Below are 21,328 nucleotides of genomic sequence, written 5' to 3'. Positions count from 1 at the left end.
TTCCTTCTGATCTCTCTTCCATTTCATATTTCCCCCTTCAGCTGTGTCTAATCTGCTGTTATTTCCATCCAAGGAATTCTTAATTTACTCAATGTATTTTTCAGTTCTAGAATTTCCATTTGATTCATAAGTATGAGTATCCAGGCCTGTCCTAATATTCTCTACCTTAAATTTTAATTCCTTGAACATAACAATAATTATTTTAAAGTTTGTGTCTAAAACACTCCATTATCCTATATGTATGTTTCTAACGGATGTTGTTTTTTCGTATCTTATCTTCTTCCGAGCTTTTTTTTTTAGTTTGTGCCAGATATTGTATATGATATATAGAAGAAATACTTTAAGCCTCCATATGATGTTATCTCACTCAATAAAGTATTTACTTTTTATGTTGCCATCTAACTACATTATGGGCATTTCACCATAATCTAATAAAAGATTATGATGATTCAAAGGTGGGCTAATTATCACGAGTAGGGTTTAGAATCTCAGGGGCCAGACTAAATCCTTAAGTATGTACCAAGGCTCCTCTTCCTTGGCACATCTGGATATCTAATTTTGTTCCTCTGTAATGGCTGACAAAAGGACTGCTCAGTGTCTCAGGAGGTTTCCAGGATTTCTAACTGTCTCAAGGTTAAAATTACACAAAATGCCTGTCTTGTATCCCTTGACATTGTACCTCTCCTAAATCTCTGACAAATTCTCATGGTTTTGATAGTTCTCTCATGCTTTAGGCAAATAAAATTCCTAATTTTTCTCAGGGGAAGTAACAGTCCAAAAGAATTCATTTCACCACTGAAAAAGAATAAGTCCTCAAAACACATTTCCTAGTATCTCAACAAAGTGCCCTATCTATGTAACCATATCTACTAAAAACCGAAACCAGTTCTGAGGTGGTAAAAAATAAATATCAGTCTATACAGTGGATACATAATACTGATACATAATGGACACATAATGGTGACATCCTATACAATATAATCCCAGGGTTCTCAACACCCTGTTAGGAACCAGGCAGCAGAGCAGGAGGTGAGTAGCAAGTGAGGAAACACAGCTTCATCTGTCTTTACAGCCATTCTCCATCACTCGCATTACTGCCTGAGCTCCACCTCCTGTCAGATGAGTGGCAACATTAGATTATCATAGGAGTGCAAACCCTATTGTAAACTGCACATGTTAGGGATCTAGGTTGCATGTCCCTATGAGAATCTAATGCTTGATGATCTGAGGTGGAGCTGAGGTGATGATGATAGGGCTTGGGAGTGGCTGCAAATACAGATTAATGTTAGCAGAGAGGTTTGAGTGCACAGGGACCACAATAAATCAATTGCTTGCAGACTCATATCAAAACCCTATCAGTGAGTGAGTGGCAAGTGATAATTAAGCTGCATCTGGTAGCAGGCTTTATAGTGGCAAGTGAGATGATGTACTTCAATTTTACAGTCGCATCTGGTAGCAAGCTTGAAGGCAGAATCTAATACTTATTTTAGTCCATGCGGGCACTGCCTGACCCCGCCCCCCCCCCCCCATTATTTTATTTACCATTTCTGTCCACACCTCTTTCCCACACTGCACACTTGTTTCAGTTACAGTTTTGGTAAGCCCACAAACAAACCTTAGCCAAACTGAGTAAAAAACAAACATCACTGGAGAGCTTCTTTGAAAAGGGGGAATGATGAGATAGCAGAAGACTCTTAGACTGCCAACAAAAAGAAAGCTGCATTTCAAAGAAAATACTAAGAGTCTTACTTAAATTACGGGTTCATTACAACAGGTGATTCACATTCTCCAAGTCCACTTTGTACAATACGTTGCAACCAGCCATCCAATGAAACCATGAAACCTTCAAAACTGCTTCACCACAAGGAGACCAAGCACCCTGCATTAAAAAACAAGCCTTTGGAGTTTTTCAAAAGAAAAAAAGTGAACACGAAGAGCCGAAGCAATTATTGAAAGCCACCACTTCATCAAATGGGTCTGTACTAAGAGCATCATTCTTAGTAGCTAACAGCATTGCTAAACCATAGAAGCCCTTTACTATTGATGAAGAGTTGATCCTGCCTATTGCTGAAGACATTTGTAGTCTTTTAGGAGAGACTGCAGTTCAAAAGGTGACATGTGTTCCTCTTTCAGCTAGCACCATAACTAGAGGAATTGATGAAATAGCAGAGGATACTGAGGCACAATTGTTAGAGAGAATTAATAAGTCACCTTGGTAAGCAATCCAGGTTGATGAGTCAACTGATGTTGACAATAAAACGTTTGTTTTTGTGCAATATATTTTTCAGGAGGCTGTGCACGAGGATATGTTATGTGCACATTTCTCTCTCTCTCTCTTTTTTGTTTTTTTGAGACAGGGTCTCAATCTGTCACCCAGCCTGGAGGACAGTGGCACGATCTCGGCTCACCACAGCCTCCACTTCCCAGGTTCAAGCAATCCTTCCACCTCAGACCAACAAGTAGCTGGGACTACAGGTGTGTGCCATCATGCCTGGCTAACTTTTGTATTTTTAGTAGAGATGGGGTTTCACCATGTTAGCCAGGCTTGTCTCAAACTCCTAAGTTCAAGCAATCCACCTGCCTCTGCCTCACAAAGTGCTGGCATCACAGGCATGAGCCACCATGCCCAGACTATTATGTGAACTTTTGTTGACAACCAACACAACAGCTGCAGAAGTATTCAAATCTTTGAATGATTACATATCAGGAAAACTGAATTGGTCATTTTTTGTCAATATACGCACAAATGGAGTATCTGCCATGACTAGGCAGCTTTCTGGTTTTACTGCTTGGGTCAAAGAGGTTGCTTCTGAATGTGAGTCTACTCACTGTGTCATCAATAGAGAAATGCTGGCTAGGCGAAAAATGTCACCTGAACTTAACAATATTTAGCAAGATGTGATGAAAATTATCAACCACATTAAAGTACATGCCCTCAACTCACATCTGTTCACACAGCTCTGTGAGGAGATGGGTGCAAAGCACACACGTCATCCCTTTTTCTTTTTTTTTTTTTTTTTTGAGATGGAGTCTCACTCTGTCACCCAGACTGGAGTGCAGTGGCGCGATCTCAGCTCACTGCAACCTCCGCCTCCTGGGTTCAAGCACTTCTGCCTCAGCCTCCCGAGTACCTGGGACTACAGGCGCACATCACCATGCCCAGCTAATTTTTGTATTTTTAGTAGAGATGGGGTTTCACCATATTGGCCAGGCTGGTCTCAAACTCCTGACCTCGTGATCTGCCCACCTTGGCCTCCCAAAATGTTGGGATTACAGGCGTGAGCCACTGTACCCGGCCGCATGTCTTCTCTTATACACAGAAGTGAGGTGGCTTTCTAAAGGTGGGTCACTGGTCAGAGTTTTCAACTTACAAGGGCTACTGCAGAGATTTCTTTTAGAAAAACAGTCACCACTGGCAGCACATTTCAGTGACACAGAATGGGTTGCAAAACTTGCTTACTTGTGTGACATATTCAACCTGCTCAAGAAACTCATTCTGTCACTTCAGGAGAGAATAACAACTGCATTCAAGTTGGCAGGTAAAGTGGCTGCATTCAATGCCAAACTGGAATTATGGGGGCGACAAGTAAACTCTCGAATTTCTGACATGTTTCAAACATTAGAAGAGATTTTTTTCTCCCAGCACCATCTTTCTCCCAGCTGGTGCATGAACAACTATTACAGCTTACAAAAGAATTTCAGCATTACTTCCCAACTTCAAAAAGACCCCAAACTGGGAAGGAATGGATACGCGACCCATTTGCGAGTAAGCCAGGTGAATCGACTTTGTCCATGCTAGAAGAGGATCAACTGCATGAGATCGCAAATGACAGTAGCCTTAAAAGTATGTTTAAGACAACTTCAAATCACTATACATTGTGAGTTAAAGTCAAGGCAGAATATCCTGAGATTGCCACAAAAGCACCAAAAAGCCTGCTTCTATTTCCAGCATCCTGTCTTCGTGGAGCAGAGTTTTCTGCAGTGACAGCAACCAAAATGAGATTATGGAGTAGACTGAACATAGGCAAAACACTTTCGGTGTCACTGTCTCCCATCACCCCCAGAATGGGACCATCTAGTTGCAGGAAAACAAGCCCAGGATTCTCACTTATTCTACATTATGGTGAGTTGTATAATTGTTTCATTATATATTATAATGTAATAAAAATAATAGAAATAAAGTGCACAATAAATATAATGCACTTCAATCATTCCAAAACCATCTCCCCTCCCTGGGTCCATGGAAAAACTGTCTCCACAAAACCAGTCCCTGGTGCCAAAAAGGTTGGGGACCACTGACATAATCCATATATAATAGCAAACTTGACAAATATGCTAAAAAAGATCTAAGCTTAAAGAATACTACAAATTTTAAGGATAATGAAAAAATCAATTAGTGCTCACTGATAACTTTGTGTGTTTAAAGAAATTTAAGACCCATTAAAATATTAAAGCATCATACATCTACAACATATTTGTAATGAGGTGTTTAAAATAATTTACAAATTATTTTAGTAAATTGTTTTACATATAAATATCCAGTGCCATTTGTGCACATACTAAAATTGCCAGGGCTGACAATAATATTCATCTAGGCAAAACTTTCACTATGTAAAGTTTTCAGGTAGAAAATCATGGAAAATTTAACAAAATTTTATTCAAGTAGTGAGCAACAACTGAATCTCTCATTTTGACTTTACACAAATAATATCCAATTCTGCTCTCTTATCCATTCACTTTCATTAAGATTCTTCTTACCTGAGCATTGCTATACCCATTATTATTACTGTGAACTATACTGCCTCCTTCATACAGAAGTTATTCTTCCCTTTTGGTATGACACAGCATTGAAAAAATATTTTTAGGGCCAGGCACAGTTGCTCACACCTATAATCCCAGCACTTTGGGAGGTCAAGGTGGGTGGATCACCTGAGGTCAGGAGTTCAAGACCAGGCTTACCAACATAGTGAAACCCCATCTGTACTAAAAATAAAAAATTAGCCGGGCATGGTGGTGTGTGCATGTAATCCCAGCTACTCAGGATGCTGAGGCAGGAGAATCGCTTGAACGTGGGAGGTGGAGGTGGCAGTGAGCTGAGATCGTGCCACTGCACTCCAGCCTGGGCAATAAGAGTAAAACTCCGTCTCAAATAAATAAATTAAATTAAATTAAATACATGTTTAAAATGTGTAACAGACTGATAGTACCTTCATCACTATACCACAATTCCACTTGCTAACATAGCAAAATGTCAGAGAAAAATTTACAAATATTAAATGTACAGAAGATGCTATTTATGAGTTATACAAAATAAAAATGAATATAAAAATATAAAGAATAAAACTACATTTTATTAGACTAAAAATAAGAATTATCAAAATTACCAAAAGAAAAAAGGTGTTATAATTCTATATTTTTTTAAAAAGTAGAAATTAGGATATATGTATGAAAGTGAAGAGGGTAGAACAAATCATGATTTGATGGAAACCTGTGTATTTCCTTTGATCACATAAAGTAACTTAATGCTAGAAGTTTAAAAGAATGTATACTGTCTTAAAAGAAAAAAAAGTCATTTCCCAGATTTTACAAAGAAAAATTAGAACAAAAATTTTATTTTAAAACTTCTATAACCAAAAAAATCAATAAATTAAAAATTAATTAATAATATTTCAAACATAAAGAGAATATTATGGATATGAGTAGGCAATTCACTAAACAGGAAACAATAGGAAATCAACACATAAGAAGATGTTTACAATACTAATCAGGAAAATGCACATTAAAATACTATTCACACCCATCACCTTGGCAAAAGTAAAAATTCTCACAATTTTCAAGTGTTGGTGAGAACATGAAGGATCAGGGACACATACCCTGTTGGTGGAAGTATATACACATTACCACAGTGACTTGAAAAGCACTTCGGCAACATGTAATAAAGTTGAGGATATAAATACTCTCAGATACAAAAATCTCACTTTTAAGTATGCACCCTAGAGCAACTCTTAAATATGTACATGAAAAGATCAGTGCAAGAAGTGCAGTGTAGCATTGTTTATAACAACAAAAGGTGAAAATTTACCTAAATGCCACAAGCTCTGTATTTCACAGGAAGTTAGATGATGAAACTAAATAAATGCTTTTTAAAATTTACAGATGACAATAAAATATGAGTGCAAAGAAGAACAAATCCCTGAACAGATGATATCGAAGTCATACTGGTAAACAAAATTACTCATCTGAAATTAAGACGATATCAGCATTTACAATGAATGCATATAAAGTAAGTATTTCTATGTCAGAAACCATTTTAAAGTCAATCATTTACAATAATAATGGCAACATAGAAAATGTGTTATTTTGTGTACTCACCAAGTCTTAGTGTTAACTTCATATTTATAAAGATCATCAACCAATCCATATTTGTTCCCTGGCAATGCTTTATACCCTCCATGAACATAAATGGACTTTGTTATTTCATCATACACACTAGTATGGCCATATCCACCTTGTACAATAGCTCCTTTAGTTTCTGGAACAAGCCAAGTGTTTGATGCTGTAACAGAAATAAAATACATTATAAATTTCAAGTAGTATTTTTAAATATAACTAATATATCACCAAAATACCAACAAGTTAATTCTAATGACATATTTTTATGAGTAAACATTGTATATCTAATATTAATTTAATCAAGAAACACTTATTAAGTATGTGCCAGGTTAGGTGCTGGGTTTGAAGTTGAGTAACACTGGTCTTTCCATAGATGAAGTTAAACTCTGAAATACTAAAAAGAACATTTTATGTGTTTGCAAGAGAAAAAGGAAAACTTTATTCTTATATTACATAAATAGCTCTGAAAAAAATTTTTAACAAATATTTTGAGAGCCTACTATGTGACAGTTAGTCACTGACATTATAAAGATAAAATGATATGATCCCTACCCTTAGAAATCTAAAATTAATTGAACACATTTTTAGTACTGTGCTGGTCCTTTATTTGTTGGTTATAAGCCCCACTTTCCTTTTTATAAAGTCCTTTGTATTGCAGAGGATGAAAACCTAAACAATAAAATTTCCAAGACTCGCTTGACAATTGTGTTACATTAGGTTCCACCAATGGGAGTACTAGTATGAGATTAAAGGGCAAGAGGAAAGATTCTGATTTTGCCTCTAGCAGCAGGAACAGGAAGGCAATTACAGTAAGTAATGGCAGTGCTGGCTTAATAGGTATTCCCTGCTCAGTAGCAAAACTGGTATGTTTAGTTGCTCAGTGGCAAATGTGATCATAGGCTCCAGCCTAGGTATGTAGCACTTCTGGATTTCTGGGTGATCCCTTCCCTTTGGTATCTCTAGTCCTTCTAACACTTTTGTAACTAATTTCCGATATTAAAATCCCACTCTGCTTGCTGTATCTACAATAGATTCATTTCCCAATGCAGTTTCACTAATAAAAACACCAATCATATGCAAGGGATGCTTTTAAGAAATGCATACGAAAAACCCACAATTTCTTGGCCTTAGAAAATTTATTATAAAAAGCAGCTATATAAAAATCTGTCATTTGTTTTTAAATATGCATATAGATCACATCTCCATCATTCCTCTAACCAGCCACCTAAAATGTGGCATCCTAGTCAGCTCATTGAAAATACCCAAATCAACTAATAGAAAATGATAATGCTTAAAAATTCTTTGCATTTACAAAATTCTAAGGTAGTAAAGAAAATGATTCTACAATGATCATAAAAAATAGAAATATCCAAAAAAGTCATCCAAGCCACTGGTACTTAATCTATGTTAAGAAACTTTGCGGAACTCATATGTAACTAACAGGCATTACATTTTGGAGGTAATTTCCAAAAAATGAAGTAAAAGACAACTTATCAGAAATAATTTGATTAATATTCTTTAACCACTTAACTATATATATATATATATATTTGAACTAAAAGATTTTCATAGTTTTATTCATTTCCTTTTAATAAAGATAAACTTGATCCTTACCAAAAAATATTGAATTAAGAGGTATAAAATGTAAAAGTTACCCTTTCCCCCAGCCCACTACCTAGAGGTACATTTCACAATTTGTTACATACAGACTATTTTCAAACTACAGTTCTGAATATTTTCGTATACATAAAACACATGTACATGTTTTTTAGATAGATATGTTTATATATATGTGTGTGTGTGTGTGTGTGTGTGTGTACATATTTGTACTAAAAATACTATGTTGCAACTACTGTTTCACTTAACAAGACATTTGGGGCATCATTCTGTGTCCCATTTATTACTTTTTTAAGAGCTAAATTTCATTGTGTTGATAATATACAATTTATTTAAATAACTCTACTTTGTTACTCATTTGGGTTTCAATTTGCCCTTAGAAACAATGGTGCAATAAACAACCTTGCAATCAACAGCAGCATCATTCTCTAATAGAGCACAGTTCTCAGTAACTATCTCATTATCTCATTTAATAATAATCTTTGGAGGGTTATATTATTGCTATCTCTTCTTTACAAATTAGGAAATTCAAAGCTAGAAAAATTGAATAACACATCAAAAGTTTAAAAGTTAATAAGTGGAACAAGATAGTGTAGACTGATTTTTCCCTGCTCCCCCCACAGACCTTAGAAACTGTGTAAGAGACAACCAAAGAAAAAATCTAAAGTGTAAAGACGAAGGCAGACTGGCTAGGGACTGGAGAATGTGTGTCTCATGACACTCACTCACCCAACAGAAGAAGGTTACTGAGGCCCAGCACTTCTCAACCCCCATCCTTAGAACAAAAGGTTACTTGGGTAGGCTTATTCCTTAGCCAAACTGAACACGAGTCCAATGGACAAAACCAGATGACCCTGGCAGCCCTAGCAAAAGGGACCTGCCAAATACTACTTACAGTAAATATGCAGGGAAAGCACTCCCCTTCCCCACAAGGCCTAAGACTGCAAAGAGAGATCTCACCACAAGACCTGAATGCAAAACCCAAACTAGGTGACTACCTGCTAAGATAAAAGATTTAAAATAGAACCCAGAGACTCCCACTATGAAACCCAAAATGTAAAGATATGATCAAAAACTCCCTGTCATACCGACAACAAGAAAAATCACGACTTGAATGAGAAGAGACAATCAAGTAATACTAACACTGAGATGAATGGATCAGATGTTAAAATTATCTAAAAAGAATTTTAAAGTAGCCATGATAAAAATACTCCAACATGTAACTATAACTATTTTTAACTTTTATTATAAGTTTTGGGGTACAAGTGCAGGTTTGTTACATTGGTAAATCTATGTCACGGGGGTTTGTTGTATAGATTATTTCATCACCCAAGTATTAAGCCTAGTACCCATTAGTTACTTTCCTGATCCTCTCCCTCCTTCCACAATTCACCTCCAATAGGCCCCAGTGTGCATTTTTTCCCTCTATGTGTCCATGTGTTCTCATCATTTAGCTCCCACTTATAAGTGAGAACACGCAGTATTTGGTTTTCTGTTCCTGTGTTAATCTGTGAAGGATAATGGCCTGCAGCTCCAACCATGTCCCTGCAAAAGACATTATCTCTTTCTTTTTCGTGGCTGCATAATATTCCACGGTGTATATGTACGACATTTTCTTTATTCAGTCTATCATTGATGGGCATTTAGATTGATTCTTTGCTATTGTGAATAGTGCTGGCAATGAACATACATGTGCATGTGTCTTTATAATAGAATAATTTATTAATATATTTCTTTGGATATATACCTAGTAATGGGATTGCTGAGTTGAATGGTATTTCCATCTTTAGGTCTTTGAGAAATACCACAGTGTCTTCCACAATGGTTGAACTAACTTACACTCCCACCAACAGTGTATAAGCATTCCTTTTTCTCTGCAACCTCACTACTATTACAAATTATCTTGAAACAAACAAAAATATCTCAGCAAAAAAAAAAAAGTTAAAAAAAAACTACAATAACAAATAAAAACTAACGGGATAGGCTCAAAACCGGAGTGGAAATGACAAAGGAAAGAATTGTTAAACTTGAGGACAGAACAATAAAATTTATCAAGAGAGAGGGAGTGGGGCAAGGGGTGAATAACTATTGGGTACTGAGCTCAGTACACCTGTGTGACAAGATCAATCATACTCCAAACCTCAGCATCATGCAATACAGCCACATAACAAACCTGCATTGAGATTCACCCCCTGAATCTAAAATAAAAGTTAAAATTATAAAAATAAACAAAAAATTAAAAATAAAAATAAATAAAATTTATCCAATATGAAAAATAGAGAAAACAGTGAACAGAGTCTCAGAGACCCTTAGGACAATAACAAATGATCCAACATTTGTAGCACCATAATCCCAAAAGGAGAAGAAAAAGAAATGGGGCTTACAGAGTTTTTAAACTCATAGGTGGGAATTGAACGATGAGAACACATAGACACAGGAAGGGGAACATCACACACCAGGGACTGTTGTGGGTGAGGGGAGGGGGGAGGGATAGCATTAGGAGATATAACTAATGTTAAATGACGAGTTAATGGGTACAGCACACCAACATGGCACATGTATACATATGTAACAAACCTGCACATTGTGCACATGTACTCTAAAATTTAAAGTATAATAAAAAAAAAAGAAATGATGGCCAAATACTTCCAAATTTTGTAAAAGACATAAACTTACAGATTCAAGAAACTAAGTAAATCTTAAATAGGTTAAACCCAAAGATATCCATGCCAAGACACCTCATAATTAAACTTCTAAAAACTAAAGACAAGGAAAAAAACCTTGAAAGCAGCCAGAGTGAAATGACAAATTACCTAGAAAAACAATAATTTTAATAATAATGGACTTCTCATCTGAAACCATGGAGGTCCAAAAGAAGTAGCACAACTGTTTTCAAATGCTGGAGAGAAAAAGAACTGTAAAGTATGAATTCTACCTCCAGTGAAACTATCCTTCAGGAATTAAGAGGGAAAAAATTCTTAAATTAAAAAAAAAAAAAGAATTTGTCATTAGCAGGTCTCTCTTTAAATAATGGTTAAAAGAACTTCTTCAAACAGAAAGATAAAGGAAGGAAGCTTGGAGCATCAGAAAAGTGGGTGCAGCGCACCAGCATGGCACATGTATACATATGTAACTAACCTGCACAATGTGCACATGTACCCTAAAACTTAAAGTATAATTAAAAAAAAAAAAAAAGAAGTCAGGACAACAAATAGAGCAGAAACATGAATACAAACAACAGATTATCCTTCTCATGAATGTTTATAAATAATATATGATGATGGAAAAAAATTATAACACCATCCGATACTCAAGATAATGATATTTAAAAGTGAGAAAAGTAAAGCTAAAGTGACGTAAATGAAAGCAAGGTTTCCACATCTCACCTGAGGTGGTAAATTACTGGTGCCAGTAGACTGTGATAAGTCAAATATATATATTTTAACACACAGACCAACCACTAAGAAAATTATACAGAAGATACTATCAAAATTTTACAAAGAGATACTATTAAGAACACTATACAAGTGCATCAAAAAGGAATCCTAAAAATTATTCACATAACCCACAGGAAGCAAGTAAAGAGAAAAAGAGGCACAAGAAAAGGAAAAAAACAGAAAACAAATAATAAAACAGCAGACTTAGTCACTAATATATCAAAATTACCTTAAATGTAAATGATCCATATATAAAACATTCTTGGAATCACAAAATTATAAAATGGAGAACAAACTGGTGGTTGTGAGGAGCCAGGGTAGAAAGGAGGTATGTGTGGTTAAAGGGGCAATGAGAAGGATCTTTGGGGTGAAGAACTACTCTGTATCTTAACTGTGGTGGGAGATATATCAACATGTGTGATAAAACTGCACAGAATGAAATAGGCACACACACACACAAACAAATACAAATAAAACTGGGAATTTCTAAGTAAGATCATAGGATTATATCCATGTCAGTATCTAGACTTAGGATGTTACACATTTGTGCAAGATGTTTCTATGAGAGAAAACTGTGTAAAGGGTATACAGAATCACTTTCATTATTTCTTACAATTATATACCTGTAACTACATTTATCTCAAAATAAAAAGTTTATTTTAAAAATATAATGTTCACTACTAGTGATCAGCTACCAGTAATCGGCATAATTCATTATGAAATACAGTATTTCACTTAACTACTTGATAAACTTTTTTAAAAAAACTTTGGAATTGTAAGAGCGAAGACACAGGTCTAACACCAAAATGTGCATTCTTGTACTACCTCAATGTTTCTCTAGGTTCAGTCACTAGCAGTTCAGGCAAGGAATTCATAAGTGGTATAGTAGTTTCAGGTGAAAAATTAAAAGGAAACAATTGTCTTCCCACACAGGAGACAAATTTGAAAAGCAAGATTAATTTGAGTCACATTCTCATTATATTCTTCTTATGTTTTGCATTTGGAAATGTATATATGCTCTAAGGAACCAACTGGTCTCAATAAACATGCAAGATAACAACATATAGATCACCTCAGAAAACATATGTTCTTATCCTCTGTTGTTATTTGCATATGCGTGAATTTTTTTTCAATTTGGTAGTGTGCTTTATCATATTCTCAATTTATAAAAAAGTAAACCACTGGTTCAAAAGTAGGTCATTAATGAGAAAAGACAGTGGTGAAAACAGATGCATGAATACATGAACTAACTCAGGATAATACTGCAAAAGTAAATAGCAAAAATTACTCAAATATACCAAGAGTTCTTCATTAGGCCATGATGGAGTAATTTAGAAAACACTTCCTGCCACAAACAACTCAGAAACCAGAAAAAAAAAAAAACAAAATAAAAAATGCTTTATGGATACTAGATACCAAGCAGCATTACACTGTGATCCTGTGACAGCATAGGACTATGACTCTAAAAGAAACAGAAACAAGTGTAGGCTCTATGATTGCCAGAGCATACTGCTTGTAGGCAATACCCTGGCCATGACACAAGATGTAGGAAGTAAAGAGAAAGAAATAAACTTTTTAGTGCGAAATAAATATTTCTCTTTCTTTAAAGAGAAATAAATATTTTACTTCTGCTTGTTATCCAACATCTGTGAAGCATTTTTCATATATTTTTTCTGGTTTTTGAGTTGTTTATGGCAGGAAATGCTTTCCAAATTACTCCATCATGGCCTAATGAAGAACTCTTGTTATATTTGAGTCATTTTTATTTTTTACTTTTATAGTAGTTTTTGCTTCCGTAGTATTTTAAGTGAAATACTATATTTCATAATGAATTACCCTGATTACTTGTAAGGTAAACAGAAACTCAGTGAGATCCAAAATAGAGTGGTGATCTCACTAACTTGAGAAAACAAAGTTTAGAGTTTAAAGAAATCACGTACCCTAGAACTTAAAGTATAATAATAAAAAAAAGAAAGAAATCAAACCAGCTTGCACACACAGAAAACACAGAGATCTGCAGAAAAGTCCCACATGTCTTTAGCTGAGTACTGATCTGCATGTGCAAAACGGGAAAACTACTTAAGGCTATGGAAAGGACCAAGAAAAAACTAGTAAACACCTCTTGAGTCTTACACAGCACTGGGAACAGTTTGTGCTCCAAGCAACAATAGAAAAATGGCCTCGTACTACAGGAGGCATTAGGTAGAGTCCTGAGAAGAGATGTAGTACCAAAATAAATGAGCAATAAACTGAAAGTTGCTCTGGATCCACTCTAACAAGACTAAGGAGCAAACTCCCAGAATGTTCAAGCTGGTAAAAGGCAATTTAACTGTGTGTCAGCACAAAGTCCAACACCCCTTAAAGGAATACAACAAAATCTAATAGCCAATAAGTTTAAAATATACATGCCTAAAACATATGAAAAAATTAAAAAGTATAGAAGGCAAAGGAAATATAATTCATAACAAAAAGAAAATCATCCAATAGAAAGAGACCCAGAAATAAAACAAAAGATAGAAGTGGTAGAACAGAATGTTTTAAAAAATGATTGGAAATATACTCAAATATGTTTAATAATGTTGCAGAAAACATGAATATGATAACAAGTAATAGCAAAAATTTTAGAAACTAATAGAATGCCTATAAATGAAATAGAATGCCTATAAATGAATGCCTCAAATGAAAAATACATTTAACAGAATTAGCACAAGATTAGAGATTACAGAAGAACAGTGAACTTATAAAGAAATATAAACTGTCCAAAATGAAGCACATAAATGAAAAAGATTGAAAAACCTGGATAACAATATCAAGCAGCCTAATCCAGAGTGATAAGAGTTTGAGATATGTGATAGTGATGTGGTGGACAGAAATATTATTTGAAGAAATAATTTCCAAAATTTAACAAAATCTGTAATTCCATGAAACTGAGAAATGCAACAAAATACACACAAGATCGGGATGGGGGAGTGGGAAATATAAAGAAGCTCACACCAAGAATTTCATGAAGTTATGAAGACAAAAAAGCAGAAGAACAAAGATAAGAATGACAGCTGTCTTTTCATCAGAAACCACTTGCAAGTCAGAGGACAGTGGAGTCACATTTTTAAGCTAGTAAAATGTGGGGGGGCAAGGGGAGGAACTGCCAACCCATAATTCTATATTAAAAACAAAGGAAAACTATCAAAATAGAATTCTACACTCAGCAAATTTTTTTTCAAAAATGAAAGTGAAACAAAAATTTCCAGACTAAAAGAAAAAAAAATCAGAGATTTGCCCTACAGGAGATGACAACAAAATTCCTTGGGCTGAATGAAAATTATACCTGCTATTGCCAACAGACATATGAAAAAATGTTTATCCTCACTGGTCATCAGAGAAGTGCAAACCAAAACCACAATGAGATACCATCTCATGCCAGTTAGAACGGCGATCATTAAAAAGTCAGGAAACAACAGATGCTGGAGAGGATGTGGAGAAATAGGAATGCTTTTACACTGCTGGTGGGATTGTAAATTAGTTCAACCATTGTGGAAGACAGTGTGGTGATTCCTCAAGGATCTAGAACTAGAAATACCATTTGACCCAGCCATCCCATTACTGGGTATATACCCAAAGGATTATAAATCATGCTACTATAAAGACACATGCACATGTATGTTTATTGTGGCACTATTCACAATAGCAAAGACTCGGAACAAACCCAAATGTCCATCAATGATAGACTGGATTAAGAAAATGTGGCACATATACACCATGGAATACTAGCCAGCCATAAAAAAGGATGAGTTCATGTCCTTTGCAGGGACATGGATGAAGCTGGAAACCATCATTCTCAGCAAACTATCGTAAGGACAGAAAACCAAACACCGCATGTTCTCACTCATAGGTGGGAGTTAAACAATGAGAACACATGGACACAGGGTGGGGAACATCACACACACTGGGACCTGTCGGCAGGTGAGGGGCTGGAGAAGGGATATCATTAGGAGAAATACCTAATGTAAATGACGAGTTGATGGGTGCAGCAAACCAACATGGCGCATGTATACCTATGTAACAAACCTGCACGTTGTGCACATGTACCCTAGAACTTAAAGTATAATTTAAAAAAAGAATATTATACAGAATTTGGATTTATACAGATGAATAAAGAGAATAGGAGAAAGTTAATATGTGGATAAATATAAATCATCTATCATTTTTATCTCTCTAAAATGATAATTTACTGTTAAAAACAAACACTAGAACAATTTATTGTGTTCTTTATAACCTATATAGATATGATATTAGCTCAAGAGAAACAATTTAAAAAATCAGGTATACTATTTTAAGGTTCTGACACTATATATGAAGTGATATAACATAATTAAAGGTAGAATGTGATAAGCTAAAGATGTATATTGTAAATAATACAGCAACCATTTGAAAAAACAAAACAAAAAGATGTAGTTAATAATAGTCCTAAAGATTCAGGAACCTGAGCAAATCACAAACAAAGTATTTTCAAAAAAATCCACACCAAGCATGTAACAATTAAACTGTTGAAAAATAAAAATGAAGAAATCATCTTGAAAGCTGCTACAGAAAAATAACAAATTATATAAGGGAACAACAATTTAAATGACTATGGTTTTATCATAAGAAACCATAAAGGCCAGAAAGAAGTGGCCCAACATTTTTTAAGTGCTAATAATTATAACTCGGGATTCTATATGCAACAGAAATATCCTACACGGATAAGTGTGAAATAAAGACGTTCTAAGATGCAGAAAAACTAAGATAATCTATACAGTCAGTGGAGCTGCTCTAAAAGAAATGCTAGATGAGGCTCTTCAGATGAAGGGATATGAAGCAGAAGGCAACTTGGAATGAGGAAATAACAATAGATATGGTAAATTTCTGGGTAAATGCAATACACTGTTCTTCTCTTTTTGAGTTCTTTAAAGTATGCTTGATGGTTGAAAGCAAAAATATTTACATGGCCTTATGGGATTTTCAATGTTTGTAGATGAAATATACAAGAAATGGTAGCATATGAAAGGAGAAGGTAAAGGTACCTGTAATGAGGTAAGGTTTCCGCATTCCAAACCATGTGACAAAATATTGATTCTTAGTACACTCTAAAAAGTATTACTTTTTAATTTATGGAGCAATCACTTAAAAATTACAAAGAGATAATAGTAAATATCACATTAAGATAAGATTAAAATGGAATACTAAAAAATGTTCAAATAATCCAAATGAATACAGGAAAAAGGAAACAAGAATAAAAAACAGGAAACACAAAGAACTGAATAATAAAATAGTAGACCTAAGTTTAAGTATATCAACAATTACACTCAAGAAGTTAATAATGGAGAAAAAATGAAATCGTAAGAGGAAAAAGAAACTAATAGAATAATTAGAGGGCAAAAATCAAAACAGCATGATTAAATCCAAGCATATTGATAATTACATTAAATATAAATCGTCTAAAACTGTCAATTAGAAGGCAACATCTGCCACATTGAAAAAAAACAGGCAAAGTCCTATCAGCTATCAAAGAGACTAAAATGTATGAAAGTATAAAACTCACTAGTAAAAGTAAGGACACAATTCAAAATATTCTAATACTGTAATGGTGGTGTGTGAATCACTGTTATCTGTAGTATAAAGGTTAATAGACAAAAGTGTCAAAAATAATAGCTACAATAATTTGCTAAGGAATATACAATAAAATATATAAATCGTCACACCAAAAACATAAAATGTGAGGGGTAGAGTTGGCATAAAAGTGTAGAGTTATTTTATGTGATCTAAGTTAAGATGTTATCAGCTTAAAAGAGCATTACAACTATAAGATTGAAACACTAATCAAGTTTTTGAATCATTAATCAAAAACCTCCCAACAAAGAAAGCCCAGGAACAAATGAGCTTCGCTAATGAATTCTGCCAAATATCTAAAGAAGAATTAACAACAATCCTTTTCAAACTTTTCCACAAAATAGAAGAGGGAACATATCCAAAATTATTTCTCAAGGCCAGCATTACCCTAATACCAAAGCCAGACAATGACACTATATAAAAGCCAATATTCCTGATAAATATAGAAGGAAAAATATTCAACAAAACACTAGCAAATAAAAATCAAGATCACAGTAAAAGAATAATTCACTGTGATAAAATGGGATATATCCCAAAGAAGCAATGATGGGTTAATATGCAAAAATCAATTAATGTGATACACCACATTAACAGAATGAAGGACAATAATTCTATTATCATCTCAATAGATGCAGAAAAAGCATTTGATAGAATTCAACATATTTTCATGATAAAAACTCTCAGCAAATTAGGTATCAAAGGAATGTACTTCAACATAATAAAAGCCATATATGACAAGTCCACATCCAACACTACAGTGGTGAAAAGTTGAAGGCTTTTCCTCTAATATTAAGAACAAGACAAGGATGCTCATTCCCACCACTTCTATTCAACATAATACAAGAAGCCCTAGCCAGAGGAATTAGGCAAAAGAAAAAAATGAAAGACATCCAAATTGGAAAGAAGTGTTGCCTCTGTTTGCAGATCACATGATGTTATATGTAAAAAACTCTAAAGTCTCCACCAAAAATCTGTAAAAAAAAATTTAAAAATTCCGTAAACTTGCAGGATATGAATAAACGTACAAAAATCAGTAGCATTTTTATATGCTAACAATGAAACTATCTGAAAAAGAAACCAAAAAAGATCCCTTTACAACATTAAAAACTAAAATAAAATACTCAAAAATAAGCAAGGATTATATCTCCAAGATATAATCTACCAATAAGACTATATATTCTTTACTTGATTATGTCTATATTTTTAAATTTAGAAATACAGTAATTTCAACCATAAGATAAATTTTAAAGTTGACCCAATCTAGGCCAGGTGCGGTGGCTCATTCCTGTAATCCCAGCATTTTGGGAGGCCAAGACAGGAGGATCACTTGGGGCCAGGAGTTCAAGAGCAGCCTAGCCAACATAGTGAAACCCTGTCTCTACTAAAAATACAAAAAAAAAAAAAAAAAAAAAAATAGCCAGGCATGGTGGTGCACTTCTGCAGTCCCAGCTACTCAGGAGGCTGAGGCACAAGAATCGTTTGACTTCAGGAGGCATAGGTTGCAGTGAGCCAAGAGCGTGCCACTACACTCTAGCCTGGGTGACAGAGCAAGACTCCATCTCAAAAAAAAAAAAAAAAAAAAGGTGGCCCAATCTAGTTTTAAACTTTTAAGAATCCTAAGAGGCTCAAAAGTAAACTAAACGCTCAAGAAGAGTACATTTTGTACTTTATCATGTACCAAGAAATGACCAGATCATGGGCTTATTTCCTAGCTTGCCTTTCCATAAACATTCAGTTAGACAGTTAAGACATGAGGGGGCTATTATTTACTGTGAACCTGACATAGGGTCTGTTTTTTCTCTAAGAAGTCATTGTAGATGTCTTCAAAAGATTCCCTTCAACAGCTTATATGGCAAACACCAATCTCTATTACTGCTCTAGGTTTGAAGTTTCGCTTGTTTACATTTGTTGGTGGAGTATTACCACTTTTTTGAAAACTTTTATACTTGTAGATGGCCATAATAAAAGAAATTCATCATTGTTAGGGCTTTTGAACCCTGCTTCTGGTTGTAATAACAAAGTAGCTGTATATTAAAATACAATCATTTCATACTTCCACAATGACCAAGCTATTCTCTTATTCCAATAAACGATCCCACAGAAATACAAACTACCATCAGAGAATACTACAAACACCTTTACGCAAATAAACTAGAAAATCTAGAAGAAATGGATAAATTCCTCGACACATACACTCTCCCAAGACTAAACCAGGAAGAAGTTGAATCTCTGAATAGACCAATAACAGGCTCTGAAATTGTGGCAATAATCAATAGCTTACCAACCAAAAAGAGTCCAGGACCAGATGGATTCACAGCCGAATTCTACCAGAGGTACAAGGAGGAACTGGTACCATTCCTTCTGAAACTATTCCAATCAATAGAAAAAGAGGGAATCCTCCCTAACTCATTTTATGAGGCCAGCATCATCCTGATACCAAAGCCGGGCAGAGACACAACCAAAAAAGAGAATTTTAGACCAATATCCTTGATGAACATTGATGCAAAAATCCTCAATAAAATACTGGCAAACCGAATCCAGCAGCACATCAAAAAGCTTATCCACCATGATCAAGTGGGCTTCATCCCTGGGATGCAAGGTTGGTTCAATATATGCAAATCAATAAATGTAATCCATCATGTAAACAGAACCAAAGACAAAAACCACATGATTATCTCAATAGATGCAGAAAAGGCCTTTGACAAAATTCAACAGCCCTTCATGCTAAAAACTCTCAATAAATTAGGTATTGATGGGATGTATCTCAAAATAATAAGAGCTATCTATGACAAACCCACAGCCAATATCATACTGAATGGGCAAAAACTGGAAGCATTCCCTTTGAAAACTGGCACAAGACAGGGATGCCCTCTCTCACCACTCCTATTCAACATAGTGTTGGAAGTTCTGGCCAGGGCAATTAGGCAGGAGAAGCAAATAAAGGGTATTCAATTAGGAAAAGAGGAAGTCAAATTGTCCCTGTTTGCAGATGACATGATTGTATATCTAGAAAACCCCATTGCCTCAGCCCAATATCTCCTTAAGCTGATAAGCAACTTCAGCAAAGTCTCAGGATACAAAATCAATGTACAAAAATCACAAGCATTCTTATACACCAATAACAGACAAACAGAGAGCCAAATCATGAGTGAACTCCCATTCACAACTGCTTCAAAGAGAATAAAATACTTAGGAATCCAACTTACAAGGGATGTGAAGGACCTCTTCAAGGAGAACTACAAACCACTGCTCAATGAAATAAAAGAGGATACAAACAGATGGAAGAATATTCCATGCTCATGGGTGGGAAGAATCAATATCGTGAAAATGGCCATACTGCCCAAGGTAATTTATAGGTTCAATGCCATCCCCATCAAGCTACCAATGACTTTCTTCACAGAATTGGAAAAAACTACTTTAAAGTTCATATGGAACCAAAAAAGAGCCCGCATCACCAAGTCAATCCTAAGCCAAAAGAACAAAGCTGGAGGCATCACTCTACCTGACTTCAAACTATACTACAAGGCTACAGTAACCAAAACAGCATGGTACTGGTACCAAAACAGAGATATAGATCAATGGAACAGAACAGAACCCTCAGAAATAACGCCGCATATCTACAACTATCAGATCTTTGACAAACCTGAGAAAAACGAGCAATGGGGAAAGGATTCCCTATTTAATAAATGGTGCTGGGAAAACTGGCTAGCCATATGTAGAAAGCTGAAACTGGATCCCTTCCTTACACCTTATACAAAAATTAATTCAAGATGGATTAAACACTTAAATGTTAGACCTAAAACCATAAAAACCCTAGAAGAAAACCTAGGCTTTACCATTCAGGACATAGGCATGGGCAAGGACTTCATGTCTAAAACACCAAAAGCAATGGCAACAAAAGCCAAAATTGACAAATGGGATCTCATTAAACTAAAGAGCTTCTGCACAGCAAAAGAAACTACCATCAGAGTGAACAGGCAACCTATAAAATGGGAGAAAATTTTCACAACCTACTCATCTGACAAAGGGCTAATATCCAGAATCTACAATGAACTCAAACAAATTTACAAAAAAAAAAAAAAAACAAGCCCACCAAAAAGTGGCCAAAGGGTATGAACAGACACTTCTCAAAAGAAGACATTTATGCAGCCAAAAGACACATGAAAAAATGCTCATCATCACTGGCCATCAGAGAAATGCAAATCAAAACCACAATGAGATACCATCTCACACCA

At 35.0% G+C, this 21,328-nt stretch overlaps 1 protein-coding gene across 10 annotated transcripts in view; it reads right to left on the bottom strand.

The window, feature by feature from the left end:
* ATRNL1 (attractin like 1) overlaps nucleotides 1-21,328 on the bottom strand; it is an 855,635-nt gene that overhangs the window by 726,747 nt on the left and 107,560 nt on the right. For 9 of the 10 annotated variants that reach the window (NM_207303.4, XM_011539587.2, XM_011539588.3 and 6 more), the window contains one exon: nucleotides 6,373-6,556. In NM_207303.4, the coding sequence (NP_997186.1) occupies nucleotides 6,373-6,556 (184 nt within the window). Of the gene's footprint in view, nucleotides 1-1,749; nucleotides 1,830-6,372; nucleotides 6,557-21,328 lie in introns of those variants that run through there. The other variant, XM_017016039.3, reaches the window with a different exon arrangement.

Source organism: Homo sapiens, chromosome 10, assembly GCF_000001405.40.
Source record: "Homo sapiens chromosome 10, GRCh38.p14 Primary Assembly".
In the NCBI taxonomy this organism is placed as follows: domain Eukaryota; kingdom Metazoa; phylum Chordata; class Mammalia; order Primates; family Hominidae; genus Homo; species Homo sapiens.
This window is presented reverse-complemented; position numbering and strand designations above follow the sequence as displayed.